The 25,502-nt window shown below is 38.2% G+C and overlaps 1 protein-coding gene across 12 annotated transcripts in view, besides 1 other annotated feature; it reads right to left on the reverse strand.

The window, feature by feature from the left end:
• Window positions 1-25,502, reverse strand: part of ARHGEF6 (Rac/Cdc42 guanine nucleotide exchange factor 6) — a 115,383-nt gene that overhangs the window by 11,805 nt on the left and 78,076 nt on the right. For 6 of the 12 annotated variants that reach the window (NM_004840.3, NM_001440994.1, NM_001440998.1 and 3 more), the window contains 8 exons: window positions 13,256-13,394; window positions 10,578-10,637; window positions 8,323-8,469; window positions 5,404-5,490; window positions 4,536-4,614; window positions 3,377-3,522; window positions 2,181-2,306; window positions 582-602 (listed from right to left, as the gene is read on the reverse strand). In NM_004840.3, coding sequence (NP_004831.1) covers window positions 582-602; window positions 2,181-2,306; window positions 3,377-3,522; window positions 4,536-4,614; window positions 5,404-5,490; window positions 8,323-8,469; window positions 10,578-10,637; window positions 13,256-13,394 — 805 coding nt within the window. Of the gene's footprint in view, window positions 1-581; window positions 603-2,180; window positions 2,319-3,376; window positions 3,523-4,535; window positions 4,615-5,403; window positions 5,491-8,322; window positions 8,470-10,577; window positions 10,638-13,255; window positions 13,395-25,502 lie in introns of all 12 variants that reach the window. The other 6 variants (NM_001440995.1, XM_017029975.3, XM_047442675.1 and 3 more) reach the window with 3 other exon arrangements.
• Window positions 17,427-17,526: an enhancer, noted in NCBI's record as "active region_29994". NCBI's record gives its function as "activates an Ori minimal core promoter by ATAC-STARR-seq in GM12878 lymphoblastoid cells {active_cell/tissue: GM12878}" and the evidence as "EXISTENCE:reporter gene assay evidence [ECO:0000049][PMID:35858748]".

Genomic DNA, 25,502 nt, shown 5'->3' on the forward strand with positions numbered 1-25,502 from the left:
AAGCCATGTATTTAACTAGTAGACAAAATAAATGTATTGAATTTGTTTTTGCCATATGAGTAACCAGCAGGTCAAAAAAATACTCATTGTCAATATCCTTAATCCTTAATCCAATAATCTGTAAACAGATTACAACCTTAGACTTAGGAAAAAACTCTCATGATCACCTAATCCCAATTTTCCAAGAAATGTGTATACATGGAGCATGGATATTAATTATTAATAGTACCTTAAAAATATAGGAAACAAATCATTTAATTTATTTCACTTAGCCACAGTACTTACACTTGAAAACAAGACAGATATGAAAAACTCTCACATGACAAAAATAACAGGAAAAAACAGAATTTAAAAAAAAACACAGGAAAATGGGCATTTTAGGGCATTATGACATTTTTATATGTATTTCACACAAGCCTGCTTTTTGAACAAAGTACTTACATGTCAAAATTGCATCTTCATATTTTAGCCACCAATTATAACAAGGGACAAAACAAGCATAAGGGAAAGCTTCATTCATCAAAGGTTACAGTACAGCATTATGATGTCACTGTAAGCCAAAGATATTGTACTACCCTTACCTTTAAGATATAAGACATCCTCTAAAATGAATATGTAAAGAAAGAGAAGATGAGCGTGAGAGGTCGATGGTTATAATGACCAAATCCACTTATCAATAATTCTAAAACAACATTTGAAATGTTAGTGTTATCATAAATTACACAGAGGGAATATAATCACATTTCCCACATTAGTTTCAGATGCAATATTATCATGCAAAAGCCCGAGGAATACAGTTCTGTGCAGAATAACAAATGCTGAAAACAACTGAAATACATACTATCTAGTAGGAATATATTAATAACTCTCTTCCCCCAGCAGAAACAAAGTGATCATGCCTTAGTTTTAATAGATTAGTTTTGTGAAGGATTAAGTCAACTTTACTCTTCAAAGCTCACCCTTAATTTGAACTTAGTAACTGATAATTACAAAATATCCATCATTAAAAAGGGGGCCTAGGTAACTATCAAGTGGCACTCCTGGTTTACATAATCAAAGAAGAAAATTGGATGATTGCAAGAATTGCACGTAAATTTCCAAAGCAAATCTGTGGGACTGCTTCCTGACCAAATTCTAAATAGAGTTATATAACAAAGATTCAGTTCGAGGGTTGTTTGTCCTATCATGTCAAGTTGAAAGGATCAAAAAATCCTCCAGTGTCCAAATATTGTCCTATTTTTACTGCACTTAGAGTTGGTAGCAACAATTAATCGAAACAAAAGCATGGTGGTTTCAATCAAAACACTCAAAATTGAGCTAAGTCTGCATCACTCATCAAAACACACGTTTGATATAGAAATATAAGCCACCTTTGCCCCATAATTCTAAGACTCATCTCATAACTGTCACAAACTTAATCTTCACTCAACAAGACCAATTTAAAGAACAGTTACTAATAAATGAGCATCATTTCTGAAATCTGAAATGATTTGAGACAGGTTAGGGATAAAGCCACTGTTTGGATGGAAAAGTAATACTCCACACAGTTACAGAAGCTAGTGAGTGACACTTCCTGACTGCAACTTTGAGAGAAAAAAAAAATACACAAAACCTTTAAATCCCCACACTACCCAAATATCAAATGGCCTTTAAGGTTGTCTCTGAGAAGCCTCTTTTTAAAAGACACTGCTTTCATCAAATTCTTTTCTCATTCCAATTGCAGCAAATATCACTTTTATAGTTTGGACTCATAGCTTGGTCCCATAACACTTTACTAATTTGGTTCAAATTGATCAAAATGATCCCAAATGCTGAATTAAGTCTGCTTCATTGGCAACTCAACTACAATGAAGTGGCTCTTGTTTGAGATTTGTGTACATTATTAACAAATCTAAAGGATTATCATAATAATCATTAAGGTAAACCAGAGGCACTTCAGGAGGAGACTGGGAACACTCAGGCAGTGCACATAGATCCTGTAGATATTCAGTACATATTTGCAGATGGACAATGGGAAATGGAAAATTAAGAAATCAAACAAATCACTGAGTCTGGCAATTCAAGACTGACTCACATAATACCATCTATCTTAAATTCTAGCACATTCCCACAGAACTATTTGTAATAAGCTACGAAATTAACTTGTCAGAAGCATTTTATACCATAGGTAGCAAAATTACCTCTTTATAACCTAGTGCTGCTGATGGTCTAAGTGGAGGTGCAGGTCGTAGACAACTTAAACTCCACGGTTTTATAATTTGAGGAGGCTCCAAGGGTCCTCGGGGCTGTCCGGTAGAGCTAAAAGACTGGGAAAATGTCTGATGAGATGTTGGCAATCTGCCATCTGAACCCGACCTTGTGCCACACAGTGAGAGAACAACAATAGCTTCATTGGATTAGCAAAGACAGCCATAGAAAGGGATAGATGGAAAAACAAAAGTCTCTAGTTTGAGAACTGGTTCTTTCCAGTCCAGATTATCGGGTCTCTAAGAAACAGCACAAAATTGACTCAACATTCCATGATCCTGTCCTCTCTTTCTCATCTGGAATTTAATTAATTTAATTTTCTTTCCTCTGTAAGGAAGGAAAATGGAGTAGCAGTCAACATTTGAGTTCAGTGATATGTTTGGCACTCTAGTAGGTGCTTAAATAGGTTATTTCATGAGAACAGCCTAAGACATAGACTCAGTCAAGGGAAGCAACTAACTAGTAATTGGCAAAGCCAAGATTTGAACCCAGATCTGAAGCCAAAGTCCATATTCTTCCAACCACAACACACAGTCCTCAAAACTGGAATTTTGGCATCATAGGTTTGTATGTTAACAAACAACACAGCATATCTTCCATCTCACTCAGCAAGTACAGTAAAATCTCATCAATTCAAATTCCAATGTCTAAATTTGTGATAACTCAGAAGGAGATAATGCTAAAAGTTTACCTTTGAAGAAGGTTACTGAGCAAATGTGAGAGCATGAGTGAGATGACATGGAGATGTTTAAGTACTTAGGGAGGTAAACTATTTGTTTCGACTTAGCCCACTGTTAGTAGGAGAATAACCATTGCTCATGGAAATAAGCCTTGCTTATCATTAAAATATTTTAGCAGGACTTCTGGTTAGAAATACTTTGCTAGCAGTTAGTTGGGGTATCTGAATACTGTCAAACAGAACTGCACACTCTAAGTAAACCTTTTCATTAATTTGGATGGGCCTCATAATGAGAAATCAGAATGAGTGAGGTTTAACTGTACTTCAAAATCTACAAATATAGGCTGCCCAAAAGACTAAGGGTGTGCTCGCTGCTTCTTGTAAGTCTCCAGCAGGCAGGAGTTGACGAAAGACTCAATAATCTCTGGACAGAACACATGGACTACTTACAGAATGAGCACTACATGATGACGATGAGGTTTTGGATAATGAACTGCAAGAGGCAGGTCCTCTGATCAGTCTGTTCAGCTGCTCCAACCATTCCTGGAAGTCCTGGTTGTTGTTACAATGGACCACAATTCTCTCCACTGTGTTACCTACATCCCCCAATTATGATCAGTTTGAAAACAAAAGGCAAGGAAAAACTTGAGCTTGTCCCATTCATAAATAGACTTCATACAACTAGGACTTGGGTGTGTATTTTCAGGGGTTTTCATACCTATGGGATAACCCTGCTGAAATTTCTATATCAGAAACAGATAACCTGTGATTACAAAGTAAATAAATATTCATGTCTGATTTAGAAAACTGTCCTTGATTTTTACTGCTTACAGAAGCTTAAAAGTAGTGTAAAACTTCACCATAAACAAACTTGCAATCCAAAAACATAAGCACATAGTCCATCTAGTTAAGTCTAAAGTGGGAATATTGTCCTGGTTCCCCTGGTATCAAAGTTGGAACAAGATCCAACTAAGACTATTTACAACCTTTTGGCAAACACCAAACCTTAAGCTCCTTCTTGGGAAAGAAGAGGGTAAGGCCATGATCCCAGTCTTAGCCACTGTGCCATATCAGCACCAACAGTCAGGCCACTACATATAAATGACACAGACCTGGCAAAAGGGATCATAAGCTAAAATGTCAGGGGGCATTACTGAAGCCTGGCATTATGCTCAATTTGTGAAGAAAATTTGATGGCTTTTCAGAACTTTTTAGAAATACAACCAAATCTTACTAACTCATGGGCTGATGATAAAATTGCTGATAAAAGTCCATATCTTTGGCTCCTCTGCCACCAGGGAACAAATGACAGAGGGGAAGAAAATTGCGTTTACATCAGTCCATTTCGTTATTCCTTAGCTCTCACAAGTAGCTCTCATGCAACAGAAAATTGAAACTAATGGCAAAGCCATGGCTTTTGAATGAGAGGAGACTTCTCTGTGCTATTGCTGTACCCTAATTATCCCAGGAAATGGAATATACTTTGCCATGCCCGCATAAAATTTGCTCGTGGCCTATGTAACAGGAAATAATGGCATTTATTTATTAAATTCCCCTTCATTCCAAAAAGAATTGGAAGTAGTTACATGAAAAAGAGAAAATTACCTACCAGTGATTTCAAATGTGCAGTCATTCCCTTCAATTTCATCTAATCTAGTCACCACCGTTCCTGCTATTGGTATTTTTCCCTATTAGAAAAAGAACATTCTCATTAATTCTGCAGTTATACAGGTCTCTGTTTATTTCACTTAGATTTTCTGACCCTCTCAGCAAGGCAAAACTATGGCTAGACGTATTTCTCCAGTCTGTCAATAGATAATATGTTTCCCTGCTCTAAATTTTAATCAGACTAAGAAAGCAAGGGGAAAATGTGGATTGTGTTTGGCTAACACACCCTAAACTATAAGATCAGGATTTACAAAGCAGTTTACTTTTCTAACACATTTTCATAAGAATCAGTAAAAAAAAGTGAAGGCTCAGATGTTATGAAAATTATTAATTGCCAGGCCAAGATGGAACAGGCAATAGTAACTTATAATACTCTATATGTTGGGAGCTGACTGAGGGACATTTAATTTCCTAAGGAGTTTAATAACATGCTTCTTAGAAGCCTGAATCATGTGCTGTGACTATAATAAGACAAACATAGGAGCAGGTCCCAGCTTTATGTTTTCTCAGCAATAATGACATGGGCCTGTACAATACTGCTGCTAATTTATCTAGTTTCCATTTATGCATGCAAAACCTAGTGCATAACTAAAGCGGTGGATATATTCAAGATAAACTCATTATACTAATACAAAGGTCTTTGATCTAAGGAACATCTGCTCTTACAAGCTCTTTAATTACAATGAAGGGTCAGAACATTCTGGTTCTCCTGGCTTGAGCTTTTAATGCCATAGTGGAGATATTGCATCTGGATGGAAACCTGTTTTCGTTAGGGGGTCTGCTATGTGTTTTATATGAAATTTACTAACCTGATAGATAAAGCCACTCATCCGAGGACTTGCAGATAACATTATCAGGACATTTGAAAATAACATAAGGTACCGCTCCTCTTTTTCCTGAGAGGGAATGAAAATAATACATGAAGAACAGAATTGGACACTTTATCTGTTGAGAATTTCTGGAATCACTGCCTTATAACATAGACCTTATATAAACAACTGAAACATTAACGGTAATTTTTTTTTTAAAAAAGATACCCAACTTGAAAACACAAAACTAGTTGAATTTTACTTTGACATGGACATAAACCCACAGTTTATCTCTCTTCTTCTTATACATAACAATTAAATACAAATAACCATGCTTGCTTTCCATGTATGAAAGCCTGAGAAGTCACCACAGTTTATGCAGCCAGTGAGATGTGCTAGACCTGGGCACAAAATAAGTCTCCAGGTTCACAAAATGAAAATATATTTTACTTTGAAAAAATGGCAAGATGAAGGGGTTTTCAGGTGATAAGAGATTTAGTATGCTCTAACATGTTTGTTAAAGTCGTATTCATAAAATTAGCTTTGGTCATTAAGAACAAGATAATTATTGGATTTATGTAAAACATAAAAGTAGATACACTTTCTTTTTTTTTTCTTGAGACGGAGTTTCGCTCTTTTTGCCCAGGTTGGAGTGCAATGGCACGATCTCGGCTCACCACAACCTCCACCTCCCGGGTTCAAGCGATTCTCCTGCCTCAGCCTCCCAAGTAGCTGGGATTACACACATGTGCCACCACTCCCGGCTAATTTTGTATTTTTAGTAGAGATGGGGTTTCTCCATGTTGGTCAGGGTGGTCTCAAACTCCCGACTTCAGGTGATCCACCCACCTCAGCCTCCCATACACTTTTTAATGGCACTGAGGAAACCTTGAAACGTGAGGGCTGCTGTGAGCCCCTTCAACAGATATGCAATTAGTATACGCAAAAATTACGTTTGCCTTCCATGCCCAGCCATCTTAGCTACAATTATCCTTATGCCTGTCTCCATCTCCTTCCTTCCATTTGAGAAGAGCAACCCTTCCAGGCTAACTATTCTAACAAGTGCTCCACATTCTCTCACATCTTTGTTTCACTTAGTTTTCCTCTACAGACACCTCTTCTTCTCCCAGCATCCTCTTCTCTTTTACTAGCTGTTCCTCTTTTTCTTTAACATATGTACACCTCCTATCCTAACAGACCTTGGCTTGCCCCCATGTGGCCCTTTATGCATAATATCCCATTTCTTGACATTTTATTGGCAAATTACTTGCTGCCTTCATTTTCTCTGCATTGATCCATCCCTAACTGCACCCCCATTGCTCTTGGAAAGTCATCAGTAACTGCCTTCTAGCAAAATCCAATGGCTTCCTCTTGGTCTTCACATTCCTTGCCCTCTGAACCTTCAGCAGCAGTCAGCACACTGGCCATTTTCAAATGCTCCTCGTGGAATTTCCATGACACCATGCTCCCCCAGTTCTTCTCTACCTTCCTCTTTGTCTTTTTATTTTTTCTGGCACTGATTCCTCCTGCCTTCACCCAAGGGGTTTATCCCAAAGGTGTGAATGACTAATAGTTAGACTCACTGCAGTAACCTTCCCTGGGGTATTTGCATTTTAAATGAGATTGCTTATTAACCCAAAGTAATGAATCTCCGCCAAAGACGTGTCAGAGAGCGTAGGAAGATGTTTTGGGAGAAGGAAGACAATTCTAACACCCGATACATCAAACCAGGTGCCATAATCAACCTTTCTCCCTTTCCCTGGCTCCTTCCTAAAAGAAATAATCCATCTTCAGCTCCCCCCACCCCCCGGGCTTCTCTCTGGATATTTACTTCCTAGGAAGGCACATCTGTTAGGGACATCTAAGTCTCTGCCTCTAACTCTGACCTCTCACTCACATTTCCATACTACATTAACAGCTGCCTATGGGACATCTCCACCCAGATATCTACAGGTCTAAAATTATATTCTTCATCTCCTCTAACCCAGGGGCACCACTTCCTGTTGGCTTTCCCTTCTAAAGATGCCTCCAATTTGCTCCTTCTGCTCCATTCCCAGTGTTACCACCGTCTTAGGGGACTCCTTCTCACTTTCCATCCCAGCTGGCCTTTCTGCTTCTCGTCCATTCCCTCCAGTTCATTTGACATATATAGGTCGCAGATTAGTGTGAAACATCCCTTTCGGAGTGTTGTTCTATGACTGTGGACTCTTTCATTATTTCCCATGGCCTGTTGCATCCATCTGAACTACTCTTGCCTGATGTCAAGCTTCTGCATAGTCTAATTCTACCTGACTCAATCAATCTTTTACTAGGGCCAAGTTGCTTCTTTTGCTCCCTACAGGCTGGTTTCCTTACTGTGCTGCAGCAAACCAAAGCCACATTTCTGTTCTCTCCTAAGATAACAATGACCTCTGCCTTGCGAAATCCTCCCCTTTTGTTTTTGTGCCCCCTCCTCAAGTCCTGTCTCCGTAAGGTCTTCTTGATCTCTCCCTCCTGTGAACTTCTATGGACTCTTGTTGAGATTGCAAAATCGAACATTGACTATTTGGTTTGTCAGCTAGTTGCAACTTGTGTTTTAGTCTGTTTTTAATGAGTTCTTTGAAAACAGGGATCATTGCTTGTTCTTTTCTCCTATCTCCCACAGCACCTAGCAGAATGTTCAACAAAGAACAGGTGCTCAGCTTCTGATTTGAATGTTGTAGCATTTGACTTTGATGGAAGAACAAGGAAGAAAAACTACTTAAGAGGCTCAGGCAGGAGGATTGCTTGAACCCAGGAGGCAGAGGTTGCAGTGAGCCAAGATGGCACCACTGCACTCCAGCCTGAGTGACAGAACAAGACTCCGTCAAAAAAAAAAAAAAAAAAGGAAGAAAAATACGAAAGATGGAAGAAATAATGTTGAGATTTGAAATACCTTACCTCACATGCTCCATACTGCACCATTACTTGTGACATAAAAATCACATTTCCCAAGTTTTTAATATCTTCTCCTTCCCATGCCTGAATAGGTTCGGACAGTATCTGTAACTCCAGCTGTTTTCTCTTCCTCAGATCTTGACATTGCCCCTACAGAACCAAAGCAGAACATAATGGAATAGGAATTCTTATGAAATAGACTAAAATAAGACCAAAGTAAGATGTGGCTTCTGACTCTTTGGTTCCCACTGAGTCCCTATTCCTCATCATGAATCCCATGACCCAGGCCTGTTCTTGATAGACAGAAAGATCCACTACCCTAAATCTCTAGGCTTGAGCCCCCAAAGGTTTTGTGAGGAAGGCCTATTTTTCATTTTGCCAAAGCATCAAAACATAATGCTAGAAAGAGCTTATTTCTCCCTCCCTGTAAAGAATATGGGAAAGCAAGCAGCCAAATCACACTGACCAGAGCCAGGTGAGGACCTGGTAGATTCAGATCTACTGGTTGGTGCCCCTGCTTTAGCTCCTCTTACCTTGTCTATCTTTGCATAAATAGGGCTTTAGTGACAAAATAATTGTATTTCTAACATATGCTCAATTTTCAACAAGGTAACATCTTGAAAATAATAAAAAACAAAAAATTTCTCCTGGAGTTATAGTGAAAGAGAAAATTAAATTCTTTATGCCACAGTGAATCAAACTTATAATGAAACCTAGGCACTGCTGTACTTTGTTTAAGGACCAAGATTGCTGTGAAAAAAATACTAAATTAGTTTTTATTCCTAAAAGGATTGGAAAAAAGAGATACAACTGAATTTCATGATGACATACTGAAATTTCAAACCAAGAAAAAATTACAGTTTGCCAACACTATGTGGGGTATGAATACTCTTTCTATATATATGTGTGTGTATGTGTGTGTATATATATATATATATATATATATATACACATATATATATATATATACACACATATATATATACACATGTGTATATATATATACACATATATATATATACACATATATATATACATATATATATATATATATATATATATATCTCACTGCTTAAGAAACTGTGAGGTTATCTTAGAGTAATTTAACAGCATGCCTTCCAAATTGAATACAAAAATAAGCACATGGTTAGTTCTGTTACTGTTTCCAAATGAATGTAAGATAATATTTTGGGGTTATATTTTCTATAAAATCTCTGCTGTCCCTTTCAGCTACATGGAAACTCAAAGAAATAAATTCACTGTACACATATTTTAAGAGCACCTATAGTAGGAATAAATATACTAAACCATCAAGGCAAGTTATATAATATAATCAGAAAGAAATACAGGTTTTTAAAAAGACTCATTTTACATTCCTATTTATACAAGAAAAAATAGAAGAACCATAATTATAATAAATGCTGTGGGTTTCACTGGGCTGTTCTATTAGCTTGCGCCATGTAAAACTGCCAATATTGGACTGTTTTTGGCATATAACAATGGCAATTTTAATCTAATACTTACTCTGGTCTTCAACTTACTGTTCAACTACAGACACGTCAATTACTGATCTTTCAACAAGGATTAATAATTAAACATTAGTCCAAATCACTTATAATGCTACAGAATTGTGTGAAATGAAGCTAAGTTTAATCAATTGCCCAAAATGAAGTTTTCTTTCCTCCTAAAATGGCACCAAGTGGTTTTATATCAGTGGGTTCAAGAAGATACATTAACCATCATACTGAAGATACAAGATCACGTGTACCTTTGATAGCAACCTATATAAAGCACTTGCATTTTAGTTCTTTAGGTTTTTTCCCCCCTTTTAGATTTGATGAAGGATTTCTTCTTCATATGCAAAGAAAAAACTCATACCCTTTGGCATAACTAGTTGAATCCAGTATTGATGCAAATCAGTGAATGATGAGTTACACAGACTCGTCATTAGGTGAGCAATGGGGGTAAAGACAAAGAGACAAAAGGAAACCCCCCACCTACACACCAATGCTTAATGTGGCTTAATGTGGCTGAGACTGTAAATGTGATTGCTTTATACCCTCAGCCTGGCAACCTTTCTTTAGGTAAGCATGATTTTTGGAGGACAAAATTAAGTGAAACAATCACTGCTATACTGTCATGAAAGCTTATTTCCATTCTAAAGACCTTTGTATAGGGAAAGAAATGTTACACACAAATCGCTCTTTCAGGAATAAAGTATACAAAATGGAGAATTGTGATTTTAAAGCATCACCTACCATGAGAGTTTTGAATGCTACGATTGCTTTCAGAATATCCTGATGATCTGGATGAGTATCCTATCAAAGGAATACATTTGAAAACAATGTTAGAGGAGAGAGGATCAGCAGTTGCCAAGGGTTAGGGGTAGAAAGAGAGTATGGCCACAAAGATAGCAAGAGAATTTTGGGGGATGATGGAACTGTTCTGTATTTTAATTGTGGTCATGGTAACATGAATCTATACCTGTGTGAAAACTCATAGAACTGTGCACCAGAAGAAAAACGTTAATTTTACTCTATACTAAAGATTAAAAAATAGAGCAGCATGGGAGCATTTGGAATCTCAGTGACTCTAATTATTAGGTGATTAAGAAATTAAGAGAGTTGGTAATGCATCATATATTTAGTAACAATGTAGTAAAAGGCAAGAGTTCCCACTTCCCTTTTTGCTATTATACTTTGGATAATGATTATTTAATAATAAATATAATAATTAAATAATTATTCGGGGTACATCATTAGGTCATGTTGTTGGTAGATGACAGGAGGTAGGGAATGGTGGAAACAAGAGTCGTGGTTAGAGAAAAATCAATCTATCAGCCGGGCATGGTGGTGCATGCCTATAGTCCCAGCTACTTGGGAGGCTGAGCTGAGAGGATCAGCTGAGCCCAGAGGTCGAGACTGTGATGAGCTGTGATTGTGCCACTATACTCCAGCCTGGGTGATAGAGTGAGACCCTGTCTCAAAACAAACAAACAAACAAACAACAACAACAAAAACTCAAGAGAAAAATCAATCTAATTCCATTTCCTAAAATGCCTCCATTTTCTTTCAGCAGTGTGAACATGGCAGATGGGAAAAGATTCCAAGTTTCATACCATATTTTCCTTCTTAAGCAAGGCTCTTACACATGGCCTGCAATCCTGTGGTACTTGCAATTCCGAAAGTGGACAGATTCAAAAACGGCTTAGAGGAATCCATAATTCCATAACTGTTTATGAAGGGAAGACACAGATTCTTATGGGTAGATGTGCACCTAACATTGGGGCATAGGGGATATGTCCTTTGGAACTCAGCTGGAGTAAGGGAAGACTAAATCTCCTGCCCCACTAGTCTCGGGTGATAAAATACAGAGCTGAACAGATTAGGGGCCTGACCCAAGCCAAGAATGACATTGCTCATAAAAAGTAAGGTTGTATTCCTTTACAGTAAAATTTATCCTTATCCAAATCAACTGACAAACAAGAAGTTCAGGCTTTATTCTACTGTTAGCAGCCATGCCAAATGCTCTGAAATCTGCACAAAGTGTCTCACCCAGTGGTGAACTAGTTCTAAAGGCTTGTATTTTCTGATGATGGGAAATGAGAGGCAGCCAAAGACATGTGACCCACAGCAAATGGAAGCAGGAGGAGAACAGGCTCCACTACAAGAAAGACTGAGATATAGGATCCAGGCAGCAGGAGCATCTGGGATTTGTTTCTCCCCAAAATAAGTGCATATTTGCATTTCAACACTGAAAAGTAATAGAAACTGAGGCCACTCGTTTCTGGATTTTTGTGATAAGCAAGGAGGGGCAAACCTCAAACGGTTCAGCAAACTGGTTTAGCTTATGGAAAGGCATCCAGAGGTCAACACCTTCCTGAGCCCTAACTGAAATTTCACACTGACAGGCTTTGCTCACCAGCTCCCCACTGCCTCCGGCTTTCAGGCAGGTCAAATACCCTGAGAATGTGGTTTCGCTCAGAGAACATTCTTTCAATCCTTACAAATGCTGACAAGCCCGGCAGAGTGCGGGTGCACTCTTTTTCTTTAAAGATAATCAAACCCCTTGAAACCTCAAAACCTTTCCCCAGACACAGGAAGAGCAACTAGGGTAAATGCAGCCTCCTCCAGCAGGCCCTCCTCTCCCACCCACACTTAAATCCCCCATGAACAATCACAAAAGAATGGCTCAAGGAGCTAGCTCTGCTGATTGGTTTTTCATAACATGAGGCCTTTGGTTCTTGGTGAAAAAATATTCAATTATCAGGCCTCATTGCAAAATCTTAGAATTTAGAAAAGATTATAGCTATGCTACAACAGTTGCAAGTAAACTGTAGGCTTATAAATAAAAATGTGGGGGGACTCTGATGTACATGCATGATGTGTAGAGAGATACCACTAATATTGTATCCATCCATTAGTCTTTAAGGAATACCAGAATCTTCCACTGTTATCCAGAGTCAGGAAGTTGAATGATGGCAGAATTCTAGAGATAAATATTCCTGTCTATAGTGAACTTGTTCTTTGTACATTCTGATGTTGTTTTGCTCTATCTCCCACAATAAAGTTGGTTAATATACCAGAAACAAAGAAGATTTCTTAGTTGGATTTTGACCAAACTACTGAGAGGGCAAAAGAAAACTCAAGTTAGCAAGTAAGCATAGACTTAAGGGAAGCCACAGGACCAAGGCTTGGAAGAGAAGAGCGAAAAGGGAGAATGATCATTAATATCTAGTAGCAAAGAGTAAGGATCTTATTTTGCTGCATAAAAAGGAAAACTAGAAGCCTGAGAAGAGGGAAGAACAGATAAAGTAAATTTTGAATCCAAGACCTTGATTCCTCTGCAAGGCCATTTTGGAGGCAAATTGGCTGCGTCCTCCAGAGCACAGGACCATACTTGGCACACGAGCTTGAAAAAGTTCACCTTCCCTTACCTCCATATGCCGTTCTAACTCTTGCAAGAGAGTAACATATTTCTCCAGTCGCATGAATGGTTTGCTGAGGTTTGTTGTTAAAATGAGGATACCTGGGCTCGATGCACCTTGATTTTCCATGAATTGTTCCAACTCATCACTAGCAAAAGAACAAATATAATTTTGTTACTGTTGAATATCTCATGTAAAGAATTATCAACCTAAAATTATTTTACTGTATTTCACACAATATAAAGCCAAATAAAAATGTGTTTTACTAGTCCAAATGCTGTTCAATTTGTTTTGGCTCAACTAAATCAGGTTTTATTAAGCTCCTTCTGTAAAATCAGCACCAGGGCTCCTTTGGTGAGCCAGACACTCATGATCCCTGGTGTCACACATTCAACAATTACTGATTGAGCATCTACTAAGTGACAGGCTCTGTTCTCTGATGGGGCTACAGCAGTGAACAAAAAAAAAAAATCCCCACCCTTAAGGAGCCTACATTCATGGGCGTGAGATATACAGTGTATCAGATGACCCAGAACTTAAAGTATAATTTAAAAAATAGATTTTCTTAATCACTTCAAACGTCCTAGTTATTGGCTGGTCAGGTGCCTAAAGATAACAATCCACAAGGTTGTATCACCCACTTGTAATGTTCTAGAATCACTTCCTGCATTTAGATACCAGCATGTTTGTATGACTAACCACAAAGTCACTTAGCCCAATATCAAAAACCAGTGAAGCAGGTTAACCAAACACTTCCATAAGGCAGTAACTTGGTGAAAAAATATATTAATATTTTATGAACTGTGTGCTGTAAATGTCTAATTCTAAGCCAGTGCTTTTTCTGCTGTTTAGCACCGTTCCAAACTGTTTACTTTCCACCAACAGGGATATTGAGTCCTGGGGCTGCAAGATCATTTTGATACATATTTAAGCAAAATATACTTAGAGGAGGAAACCTACTGCCTAAGTGACAGCTTATGTTGAAACTTCTGCTTTATTACATGGCCCTTTTACCTCTTTGGTTGGCCATGCATATCCAGTCAGTCACAAATCTTCTTGGATCTGTTCATTCCTTTCCATTCCTGCTGCCACTGCCTTAGTTCAGGATTTCAGCTCATTCCATCTGGCTCACTTCAATAGACCAACTGTTTTCCTGGCTTCCAGGCTTTTTCCAGGTCCTACAGACTACCATTTTAGCCTCACTGCTTTCCTACCCAAGAGGCTGAGTGCCTACAAGATCAAGTCTTAACTTTTTAAACTCCTACTGGCTCCACCATCTTTCTCACTACTCCCCAGCAGGAAACCCCTAGTGCAAAGTGACCTACTTATTCTCCCTAGAACACGTCTTATGCCATGGTTCCCAACTGTGGTGTGCTGCTATAAGGTGTGAAGTGTGTTCAAAAAACTTGCTATCAGTAATAAAGTACTAGGAGGCTGGAAACAGAGCGGATTGCAGGTTATCCCTGCAATCCCCACCCACACTCTCCCTTCGTGGGCTTTTCTGAGCAGGAGAGAAAAGATGGAGTTTCAGCTAATGCAACAGCAGCCTTGAGTCATGCAGTATGGCACATATGTTGGGCTGGGAATGGCTGCCTTAATGGAGTCTAGATCACATATGAGAGGTCATATCTAGCAATTGCTGCTAATCCTTTTATAAAACTTTTACAAAATTATAGAGACAGGGTTTTGCCATTTTGCCCAGGCTGGTGTCGAACTCCTGGGCTCAAGCAATCCTCCCACCTCGGCCTCCCAAAGTGCTGGGACTACAGGCATGAACCACCGCACCCAGCCTGCTGCTAATCCTTTTATCAGTTTTCGTAGTCTTGTTCCAGAAGTAGCCAAAGGGAGGGAAATGTCCTAGACTTGGAGTCATAAAAGAGAGTTGGCAACCCTGGATGAGTTGCCTGAGCCTCAACTGACTCATGCTTATAAGAGAGATAAAACCTACTTCCTAATAAAATTGCAAAGATTAAATATTGGGGGTTTTAATGCTACTATTTCATGCTAAGAATTGTACATGCATTCATTCTTGTTTAATGACAACAACATTTCAACATAGGTGTTCTCCCCATTTTACAGATGAGAAAACTGAGAGGAAGGGTGATAGTAAGTGGCTACAGTGGGATTCATACTCAGGTCTGAAGCCAAAGCCTCAGGTCTTTTTAGGATGCCATACTGGCTCTCTGCAGGACAGGATTTTGTAAACTTTAAAGTAGTCAGTGGATGCATTATTATTATTATTATCCCAAGACAAATACCTTGCTAAAATCACATCTTTAAAAACTACCAGTACCTGTGGTTTCCAACTTAATGGAAATTCAATTGATGTTCAATTGCCAACCAAGAGCATAAAGTGCATAAAGAGGTTTAAAAATTCATTGCATATAAAATATAATTAGGGAAATAACTCGGGTTTGGAGTGCATTTGAGTAGAAATGTAATTTGGAGAAAATCATTTTCCTAATTTCTTTTCAATTTAGTAAACAAGTTTTATTTTTTCTTTCAGTGACTAAATGACTGCCCGCATCCTCAACATTTTACTCTAATTGATGCAAGAGTGAAAGCAATTAAAAGCAAATGCTAATGTGTACCTTATTATTACCTTCCATGCAGCATTCTAACTTCTAGGCTTGCTAAACATCATAAAACAATTTAAATTTATTTCAGTACAACATGAGATCACTATCTTGGATTAAAACACTGGTTCTTCAGAAAAGATAATTTTACTAGGGCAACAAAAGAACAAAATTGTCCTAAAATGCCTTTTATCTATGATAAATAGATCCTAAAAGACACATTTTATTTAGCCAAATAAACATAATACACAAATTAGTATCATTATACACAAATATAATACATAAATATATATTGTTATACCAAAGAACAATCTGTCTTTTAAATGTAGAATTTTATACAGCCCATTTGAAATAGCAGTGGATTAAGACTTGCTTTTCAAGCTTAAAATGTTCTGTATATGTGACATGATACAATAGAAGCAGTTCTCAGTGTATAAATGCTGTTTAAAACAACATACATTTATTTCATAGAATGCATGGTGGATGGGGCTCTGGGATATTCTGGGTTGGACTGGAAAGCTGAAGAAAGCTATGTATACTATAATAACACTACAGAGCTTAGCCATCTCATATAGAAGTGCTTCTGTGGCATCTTTGTATAGGTTTCTAATTTGAATGATCATAACTCTACCTAGCAGAAGGTCAGAGATTCCTCCTCTCCACCTCAATTACTACCCCACCAGCCCTTCGGGGGAAATCACTGTGGTCCAAAAGGGGTGGTGAGGCAAGAGGAGCTGGCTGCCACAGCCTCTGGCCAGTGGAAAATTTCAAGAGTGCCACTCACACTGGGTAGAGTGGTTCCCTTTCTTCTCTTTTTCATTTATCCAGCCCCAGATATTAGGTGGTGTGCTTCTTTTGCTTCTTTTTTTGTCCCCACTCCTTTTTTTTTTTTTTTTGAGACAGTCTTGCTCTGTTGCCCAGGCTGAAGTGCAGTGGTGCGATCTTGGCTCACTGCAACCTCCACCTTCAGGGTTCAAGCGATTCTCTTGCCTCAGCCTCCTGGGTAGCCGGGACTACAGACGCACACCACCACATCCGGCTAATTTTTGTGCTTTTAGTAGAGATGGGGTTTCACTATATTGGCCAGGCTGGCCTGGAACTCCTGACCTCCAGTGATCCACCTGCCTCGGCCACCCAAAGTGCTGGGATTACAGGCGTGAGCCACCGCGCCCGGCCTTGTCCCTACCACTTTTTGTTTGTGATCAGTCTTACTTGCTCCCTTCTCTGGCCCTTCAAAGACAGAAAAGAACAGAACCTAGGCTCAGAATTTTTTACGTGCTCCCTGCCCCCAGAGCAAGTACACAACTTTTTGGGGGGTTTCTCAAAGTCTTCATTGCTGGCAACCATGGTAAACAAAGAGTGGAGAGAACTAACAAGAGCAAAAGCACAGCACAGCAGAGACGGAAGTGAGGTCCGGATCTGTCTTAGCACCAACTCCTCTTCTCTCTGATCTCTCATTTAACCCTCTCCCTCGTGAAAAAGGATGAATGCCACACTGAAGCAAGCACAGGAGAGAAGAGGGTATTTTTGTAAAAGAGAGGTTATTCCCAGGAAGAAACAGGAGCTACCATAGCAAGCTAGCAGGGGAGAGGGAGGGGAAATCCCGAAATACCTCACCCAGGGGACAACAAAAGACTAGAGCGGCCATTCAAATATATGCAAATATGGGGACACATCAAGGTTGGGGTCTGATTACATATCCAAATTCAGGCCATACACGACTGCATTTTTAACAAGACAGCTGCATGCAATCATACAATTTTAAGGCTGGATCCCTTCTCAGGGCCAATTGTTATAAGCATTCCTGGTATGGTATTGCCACCTAAAGGCCGAAAGGAAGAAGTTCACCTGAACATCACAGCTTCAGCAAGGAAAGAACAGAAATCCACCAATGTCCCTATTTCAGCTGAAATCTTCATCTAAAAAATGTTTAATGTGAATTTTCTGTGAATTTCATTTCACTGTGCTTTGCCTTTAATAGGTCAGCATAAATTGCCACTAGATGCATGTAAAATAGTTGAGATTATATTAAAAGCACATGTGAGAAAAACCTCAAGTATTTTAATTTTCATCCCTTTTACCTGTAAATAAACCAGTAAGATAAAAATTTAGTTCTATGAGGACTCCAGTGAGTCTTCCATCATTTCAAGGGATATTATAAAATTCTCAAAAACACCGTTAACTAAAATTAAACAGGGCATTATACTTCACCAAAAACTTGAGAATCTTTTAAATCAACTGTGTAACAAACATCAAACCATAATGTTTGAGGGAAGCTTTACTTAATTATAAAATTAAATTCCCAACATAGGTAAATGTAGTCAGTAACATTTTAACACATAGAGTTACAATGGAAACTTCTCTAAACACCACAGAAAGTCTGCCACTTGAGGTAAACCATTTCTTTCCAGTATTCATCCAGAATATTGTTTTCATATCAAAAGGAGAACATGTGCTCATTTTACTGGTGTTAAGGAATTTGCCCTTATATTCACAGGACATTTATGAATTCATCAAAGGAAAAAAGTCTGTGAATCATTTTTTCTTTATTGTAGATATGTAGAAAAGTATGAAAACATTCCTGGAAATGACAAAAACAAATTTAGGACTGTGGTTCACTCTGGTGAGGGAGAGAAGAGCAGGAAATATTGAAGGGGATACACAGAACTTGAATTGCATCTATAATTTGTTTCTTAAGCTGAATAGTGGGTACGTGGATGTACTTTATATTATCTCTGTTCTTTGTATGCTTGAAATATTTTATACTTTTTTTCCTAAAAAGAAACTAGTAGCTGGTAGGTAGATGTTTAAAGGACACATAGGGCATGGTGACACAGTGCTGGGTGCTTAGTATACATTATTTCATTTAATACTAACATCAATCCTGCAAGGTAGGTGGTTTGACCCTCATTTTACAAGTGAGGAAATTAAGGCTTAGAAATGAAGTGAATTGCCTTGGGTAAAACAGCCTCTAAGTGGTAGAATTGTGAAGTGAGACATTAAAAAAGTGATAAAAAGTTTAGGCTCAGATCAGGCAAGGGCACAGAAGGACAGAAAAGGAAACAGTAAGGAGTTCCACTTTTGAGATGGTGGCATGAGATTCATTGGATGCACTACTCAGTTAAAAAAAAGCGTAGCAGGTGAAAACCATTTAGGCCAGGCGCAGTGGCTCACACCTGTAATCCCAGCACTTTGGGAGGCTGAGGCAGGAGGATCACTTAAGCCCAGGAGTTTGAGACCAGCAGACTCTGGTCAACATAGTGAAAGCCCTGTCTCTATAATTTTTTTATAATTAGCTGAGTGTGGTGGTGTGTGCCTGTAGTCACAGCTGCTCAGGAGGCTGAGGTGGGAGGATTGCTTGAGCCCAGGAGTTCAAGGCTGCGTTGAGTTATGATTGTATCACTGCACTCCAGCCTGGGTGACAGAGCAAGACCTTGTCTCTGAAAAGCCAATAATAATAAAAATAAAAATAAATAAAATATCTAGAAGTTGTCCTAATGATATAAGATAAATGAAAAAAAGTATTTATTCAGGAAAATCTACTAAAACTCAGTAAGAACAGGGAGAACTTACAGCATTTGAGCTATGACCAGCTCTCCCTTTTCTCCCTCCTCCCAACTCAGCTTGACAGAAGCTCCATTCCGGGCAACTGTGACCAAGTAGAGAGGCCTCCCTGGCCTCTCAGCTACCAGTCAAAAAATATGATATCTCACCAGGAGGGACAGGTCATCAGCACATCTCTCCCCTTCAACTCTGTGTAAAAGAGGCTAAATTCCTGGTAAGTGTGCCTGAGAGGTCGAAAGCTCACTTCACGCAGCCCCGACACAGGCTGGAGAGTAGGCCCAATCACCCTCACCCCAGCCCAAGTGTAGGGTAGAGAGTTCCATGCTGGAAAAGGCAAGCTGGAAGAGGCAACCAGAGGGTACCCATGCTGCCCAGCTCCCAGAGTAGTGAGATTTTGCCCAGAGGGAGACGCAGTCCATGGGAACAGAAGAGTTCTGAAGCTCTCCATGAAGAAATTGGTTTTATTTGGAAAAAAGGCATGTGGGGATATTCAAGCTTAAGAGCTCTTGCCAAAACAAAGGAGATTTTGGTAGTAAGCCAATAAAAGGAGGCAGGTAGCTCCTGTCACTTAAGTGCAAAAAGCTAACCCATAGGCCAGCTAGGTCACCAGAGAGAGAACCAGGGAAACAGACAGCCAGGAAGTGCTAAGAAGGATCAGAAGAAACCTCAAAGTCTAGTCTCAAAAAGTGTCTCCACTTGAACTTAATTAGATCAGATGGTGGAGCAATTTATGTCCCCATGAAATTATCAAAAATATTAGAGCCAATCAGCTGGAAATTAGGAGAGCCTAACACCTGGATGTGATACCAAACGGGGCTTAAAGGAGAGATCAGGGAGTGAGACAGTCAAAGACAGCTCTGCTAAGACCACTGTCATTCCAGAGTGACTGCATGCCTGACCAAGGCTGTGCCCTCTGAAGAGCGATACCAGAGATTGTACTCTGTGAGCGAAATAGACTTCACTAAAATAGTCAAATCGAGTTACTAAACAAACACATAAGCAAACAACAAAAACATGTCCCAGAGAGTGGGGAATGAAATCAGTATCACAGTTGTGAAATCTAAAATTACCTAAAATGTCTTGTTCTCAACAACAAAAAACAATATGGCACACAAAGAAACAGCAATGTGTAACTTACACAAATAAGAAACAACAGAAATTGTCAGTAAGAGGCAAAATGTCAGACTTAATAAAGTCTTCAAAGTAGCCATTATAAATATGTGCAAAGAACAAAAGGAAACCATGCTTAAAGAAGTAAAGGAAGCTATGATGACAATGTCTCACCACATAGAGAACATCCATAAAGATGCTGAAATTGTAAACAAAAAGAAAGAAGAAGAACCAAATGAACATTCTAGAGTTTAAAAGTAAAATAACTGAAATTTAAAATTTCATTAGAGGGGCTCAACAGCTGATCTGAACTGGCAGAAGAAAGAATCTGTAAACTTAAAATACATCAATAGAGATTATGCAATATAAAAAGGAGAAAAAAGAATAAAGAAAAACGAATACAGCCTCAGAGAAATATGGAAAATCTTTAAGCAAAAGAACATATACATAATGGAAGTACTAAAAAGAGAGGAGAGAGAGAATGGAGCAGAAAAAATATGCAAAGAAATAATGACTAAAATTCCCAAATTTGAGAAAAACATCAACCCACACATACAAGAAGCTCAATGAATTTCAAGTAGGATAAATGCAAAGAGGTCCACACTCAAACAAATTATAATAAAAATCCTGAAAGTCAAGGAGAAAACTGAAAGCAGGAAGAGAAGAACAACTCGTCATGGGCTAGAGAACCTAGATAATATTAACAGCTGATTTCTCATCAGAATCTTGGAGGCCAGAAGGCAGTGGGATGACATACTCAAAGTACTGAAAGAAACAGAACTGCCAACCAAGAATTCTGTATTCATCCAAACTATCTTTCAAAATGGAAGGTGGAATGAAAACATTCCCAGACAAGAACTAAGAGAATCCTTTCTTAAAAATCCACCTTACAATAAGCACTCAGTGAAGACCTTCAGGCTGAAAGCAAGTAAACCCAGACTTAAATTTAAATTCACATATTAAAACAAAGAGCACCAATAAAGGTAAATATGCAATTATGAAAGACAGTATAAATACATGCTTCTTCTTCTCTTAACTGATATAAAAGCAATTGGCCAAAGCAAAATTTTATAATTTCATTGTTGGACCTATACACACATAAATTTAATATATTTGAAAACCACAGCATGAAGGAGAAAGGTGGGAGCAAAGGTCTGTTGGAATAAGAATATAATACCAGATAGTAACACAAATTCACAGGAAAAAATGAAGGGAAATAGAAATGGTAAATAAGAAAGTTAATATAACAAACACTATAAATATATTTTTCCTTTCCTTTCTTCTCTCAGTTGTATTAATGGACATAAAATTAAATAACAATTATAGCATGTATTATTGTGTATATGGAGTTCATATTTATAATAATAATAACAAAAAGGGAAGAGGAAACAGTTATACAGGAGTCACATTTTTATATATAACTAGAATTAAGTTAGCATAAAAAATGAAGTCCATTCTGATAAGATATATATGGAAAGTTTTAGAGTAACCACTAAAAGACACCCCAAAATATAGTGAAATATTATAGAGAAAATTTATAACAAAAACGTTTAAAATAATAAAAAAATAAAATATAGTGAAAAAATCATTAAAGCACTTCTGATTTCAGCTCTGACATCGAAAGAGCTTGGAAGTCATCACACTATAGTCATAATTAAAAAAATACTGAACAAACTGAAAATCAATGACTTTTGTTAGATTTACTGAGAATTGAGATCACAGAAAAAATCACCACCTCAAAATCTGGAGAAACAGTGAATACAGAGAATTACAGCTGAGATTAGCTTCCCTAAAGCAGAAGCCACTGGACCCAGTAACTGGCAGGAACACTTGCATAGTGATTTTAATGAATTCCTGGAGTCTGAATGTGGACCCCAACTTGAGATTTAAAAGCTCCTGGAGAACCATCTTGAGGCGGGGCAATGCTTTTGTGGGTTTGGGATCCAAAAACCCAAAAATGTTCCATAGTGAAGATCAGAGAAAAATCCTCTCATGTTTTGGGATAGGAGTGGGGGCGGGGTGGAGCATCCATTTTGAAATAATCCCAGAACCTTTTCCAAAACAAAGGCCTGTCTTCCAAGGGAAACTATGTTGCCAAGTCTTATCTGACCTGAGGAAGGTACAATAGGCCAGCTTCAGCCCTCTCTCATCTTCCTGCCATATGTGAGAGGACTAAAAAAGGCTAAGAATTGCTTCTGGAGGTCAATTTCCAGGGACTCAGGTCTACTAAAAAATTGAGACTTGTTCATAACATTATAGAATGTGTCCCCTTCCCCAACACCTTATCACCACATTGACAGGGCCCCAATATATAATAACAGTGGATTACAGGGAGGGATCTGCAAGACACAGACTCTATTTAAGAAGGAGTTCTTAAGAAACCCAAAGATAGGCAGGGCGCGGTGGCTCAGGCCTGCAATCTCAGCAGGATTGGGAGGCTGTGGCAGGTGGATCACTTGAGGTCAGGAGTTTGAGACCAGCCTGGCCAACTTCATGAAACCCTGTCTAAACTAAAAATACAAAAAAATTAGCCAGGCGTGGTGGCACATGCCTGTAATCCCAGCTACTCAGGGGGCTGAGGCATGAACATTGCTTGAACCTGTGAGGCAAAGGTTGCAGTGAGCTGAGATCGCGCCACTGCACTCCAGCCTGGGAGACAGTGAGACAAAAAAAAAGAGGAAAGAAAGGAAAGAAAGAAAGCCAAAGTTAATAAGAGAGAAGGAAAGGAAACAAAAAAAATCTAAAGCCCCTCATACTTACAGCTACAGCAAACATTAAACACAGGCAAGATCCTAGTCAGATTAACAGAAAACCTCACAGTAAACACCTAGTTACCTCAGTTCCTATTACTTAATTTATCATGTCTGCCTTCCAACAAAACATTACAAGGCATGCTGAAAGGCAAGAAAAAAACAGTCTGAGGAGACAAAGCAAGCTTTAGAATCAGACTCAGATATGACACAAATTTTGGAATTATTAGGGAATTCAAAATAACTATGGTTAATATGTTAAAGGTTCTAACAGATAAAGATAGACAACATGTAATAAAAGATGGGTAATGTAAGCAGAGTGATAGAAACACTAAGAAATGATCAAAAGAAAATGCCTGAAATAAAAAACACTGTGACAGAAATGAAGAATGCCTTTGATAGTCTAACAAATAGGCTAAACATAGCTGAGGAAACAGTGAGCTTCAAGATATGTCAATAGAAATTTCCTAAACTTAAATGTAAAGAAAAAAATTTTAAATGGAAGAGAATACACAAAAACTGTGGAACAAGTACAAAAGGTGTAACATGCATAATGGGAATATAGACAGAAAAGAAAGAGAAAAGAGAAGAAATATTTAAAATGTTGACCCTATTAGGCCAAGAATTTTGCAAAATTATTGACAGACCCCAAACTGCTGATCCAGGTATCTCAGAGAACACCAAGCAGGATATATAGCAAAACATATCTACACCTAGCCATTTCATATTCAAGCTGCAGAAAGGCAAAAGCAACGAGAAAATCTTGAAAGAAGCCAGACAGGGAAAAACACCTTACCTGTAGAGGAACAAGGATAAGAATTGTATCAGACTTCTCATTATAAACCATGCAAACAACAGAATGGAATGAAATATTTAAAGTGTTGAAGGAAAAAAATGACAACCTAGAATTCTGAATACTTTCTCAAACAAACAAAAAATGTGGGAAATTGTGGCCAGATGACTTGCCTTGCAAAAATGTTAAAAGAAGTTCTTCAGAGAGAAGGAAAGTGATATAGATTTAAAAACAACAAACAAAACTTGGATACATGGAAAAAAGTATCAAAAATAATAAATCCAGGTAAAACAAAATATTTCATTTTTCTTTTTTTTTTTTTTTTTTTTTTTGAGATGGAGTCTCGCTCTGTCACCCAGGCTGGAGTGCAGTGGCGCCATCTTGGCTCACTGCAAGCTCCGCCTCCCGGGTTCACGCCATTCTCCTGCCTCAGCCTCCCTAGTAGCTGGGACTACAGGCGCCCACCACCACGCCCGGCTAATTTTTTGTATTTTTAGTAGAGACAGGGTTTCGCTGTGTTAGCCAGGATGGTCTCGATCTCCTGACCTCGTGATCCGCCCACCTCGGCCTCCCAAAGTGCTGGGATTACAGGCGCGAGCCACCGCACCCGGCCTCATTTTTCTTATTCTTAATTGATTTAATAGATAACTGTTCAAAGTAATAATAGCAACAGTGTATTGGGTGATTTTACTTTATAGAAAAGTGAAATGAATTACAATAATATTATAAGGGATAAGAGGGAGGAATTGAGAATATTCTGTTATAAGTTACCTATGAAATTGTGTAGTGTTATGTGAAAGTGTTGTTAGATTTAGCTGTAAATACATAACATAAACTCTAGGGATACTGGTAAAATTTTTTAAAGGGAGTATTATATGCTAAGAGAAAAGTGAAAATAAAATGTTTACTAAAAACAGAAAAGGCGGAAAAATAGAGGTAAAAAAGAAACAAAGAACAATTGCAATGAATAGAAAACATGGCAGATACTAATCCAAATATATAAATAATCACTTAACATGTGAATTTTCTAAATACGCCAATTAAAAGAATGAGACTGTCAGAGTGGATTAAGAAACAAGACTCAAATATATTTTGTCTACAACATATATTTTAATCTATGACAATTAAAAGTAAAGAGATGAAGAAGGATATATCCTATTAACAATAATTGAAAGAAAGCTGGACTAGCTGTATTAATTTCAGACAAAGCAGACTTCCGATCAGGGAAAATTATCAGAGATAAAGAGGAAAAATATACAATGATAAAAGGGCAAATTCTCCCACAAAACATAATAATCCTTAATGTGAATGCACCTAACAACAGAGTATCAAAATACATGAAACAAAAATTGATAGAACTGAAAAGAGAGATAAATCTATTGTGGTTAGAATTTAACATCTCTCTATCAGGAACTGACAGATCCAGCAGCAGAAAATTAGTAAGCAGGCAGTTGAACTGAATA

This window comes from Homo sapiens, chromosome X, assembly GCF_000001405.40.
Source record: "Homo sapiens chromosome X, GRCh38.p14 Primary Assembly".
NCBI classification, from domain to species: Eukaryota; Metazoa; Chordata; class Mammalia; order Primates; family Hominidae; genus Homo; species Homo sapiens.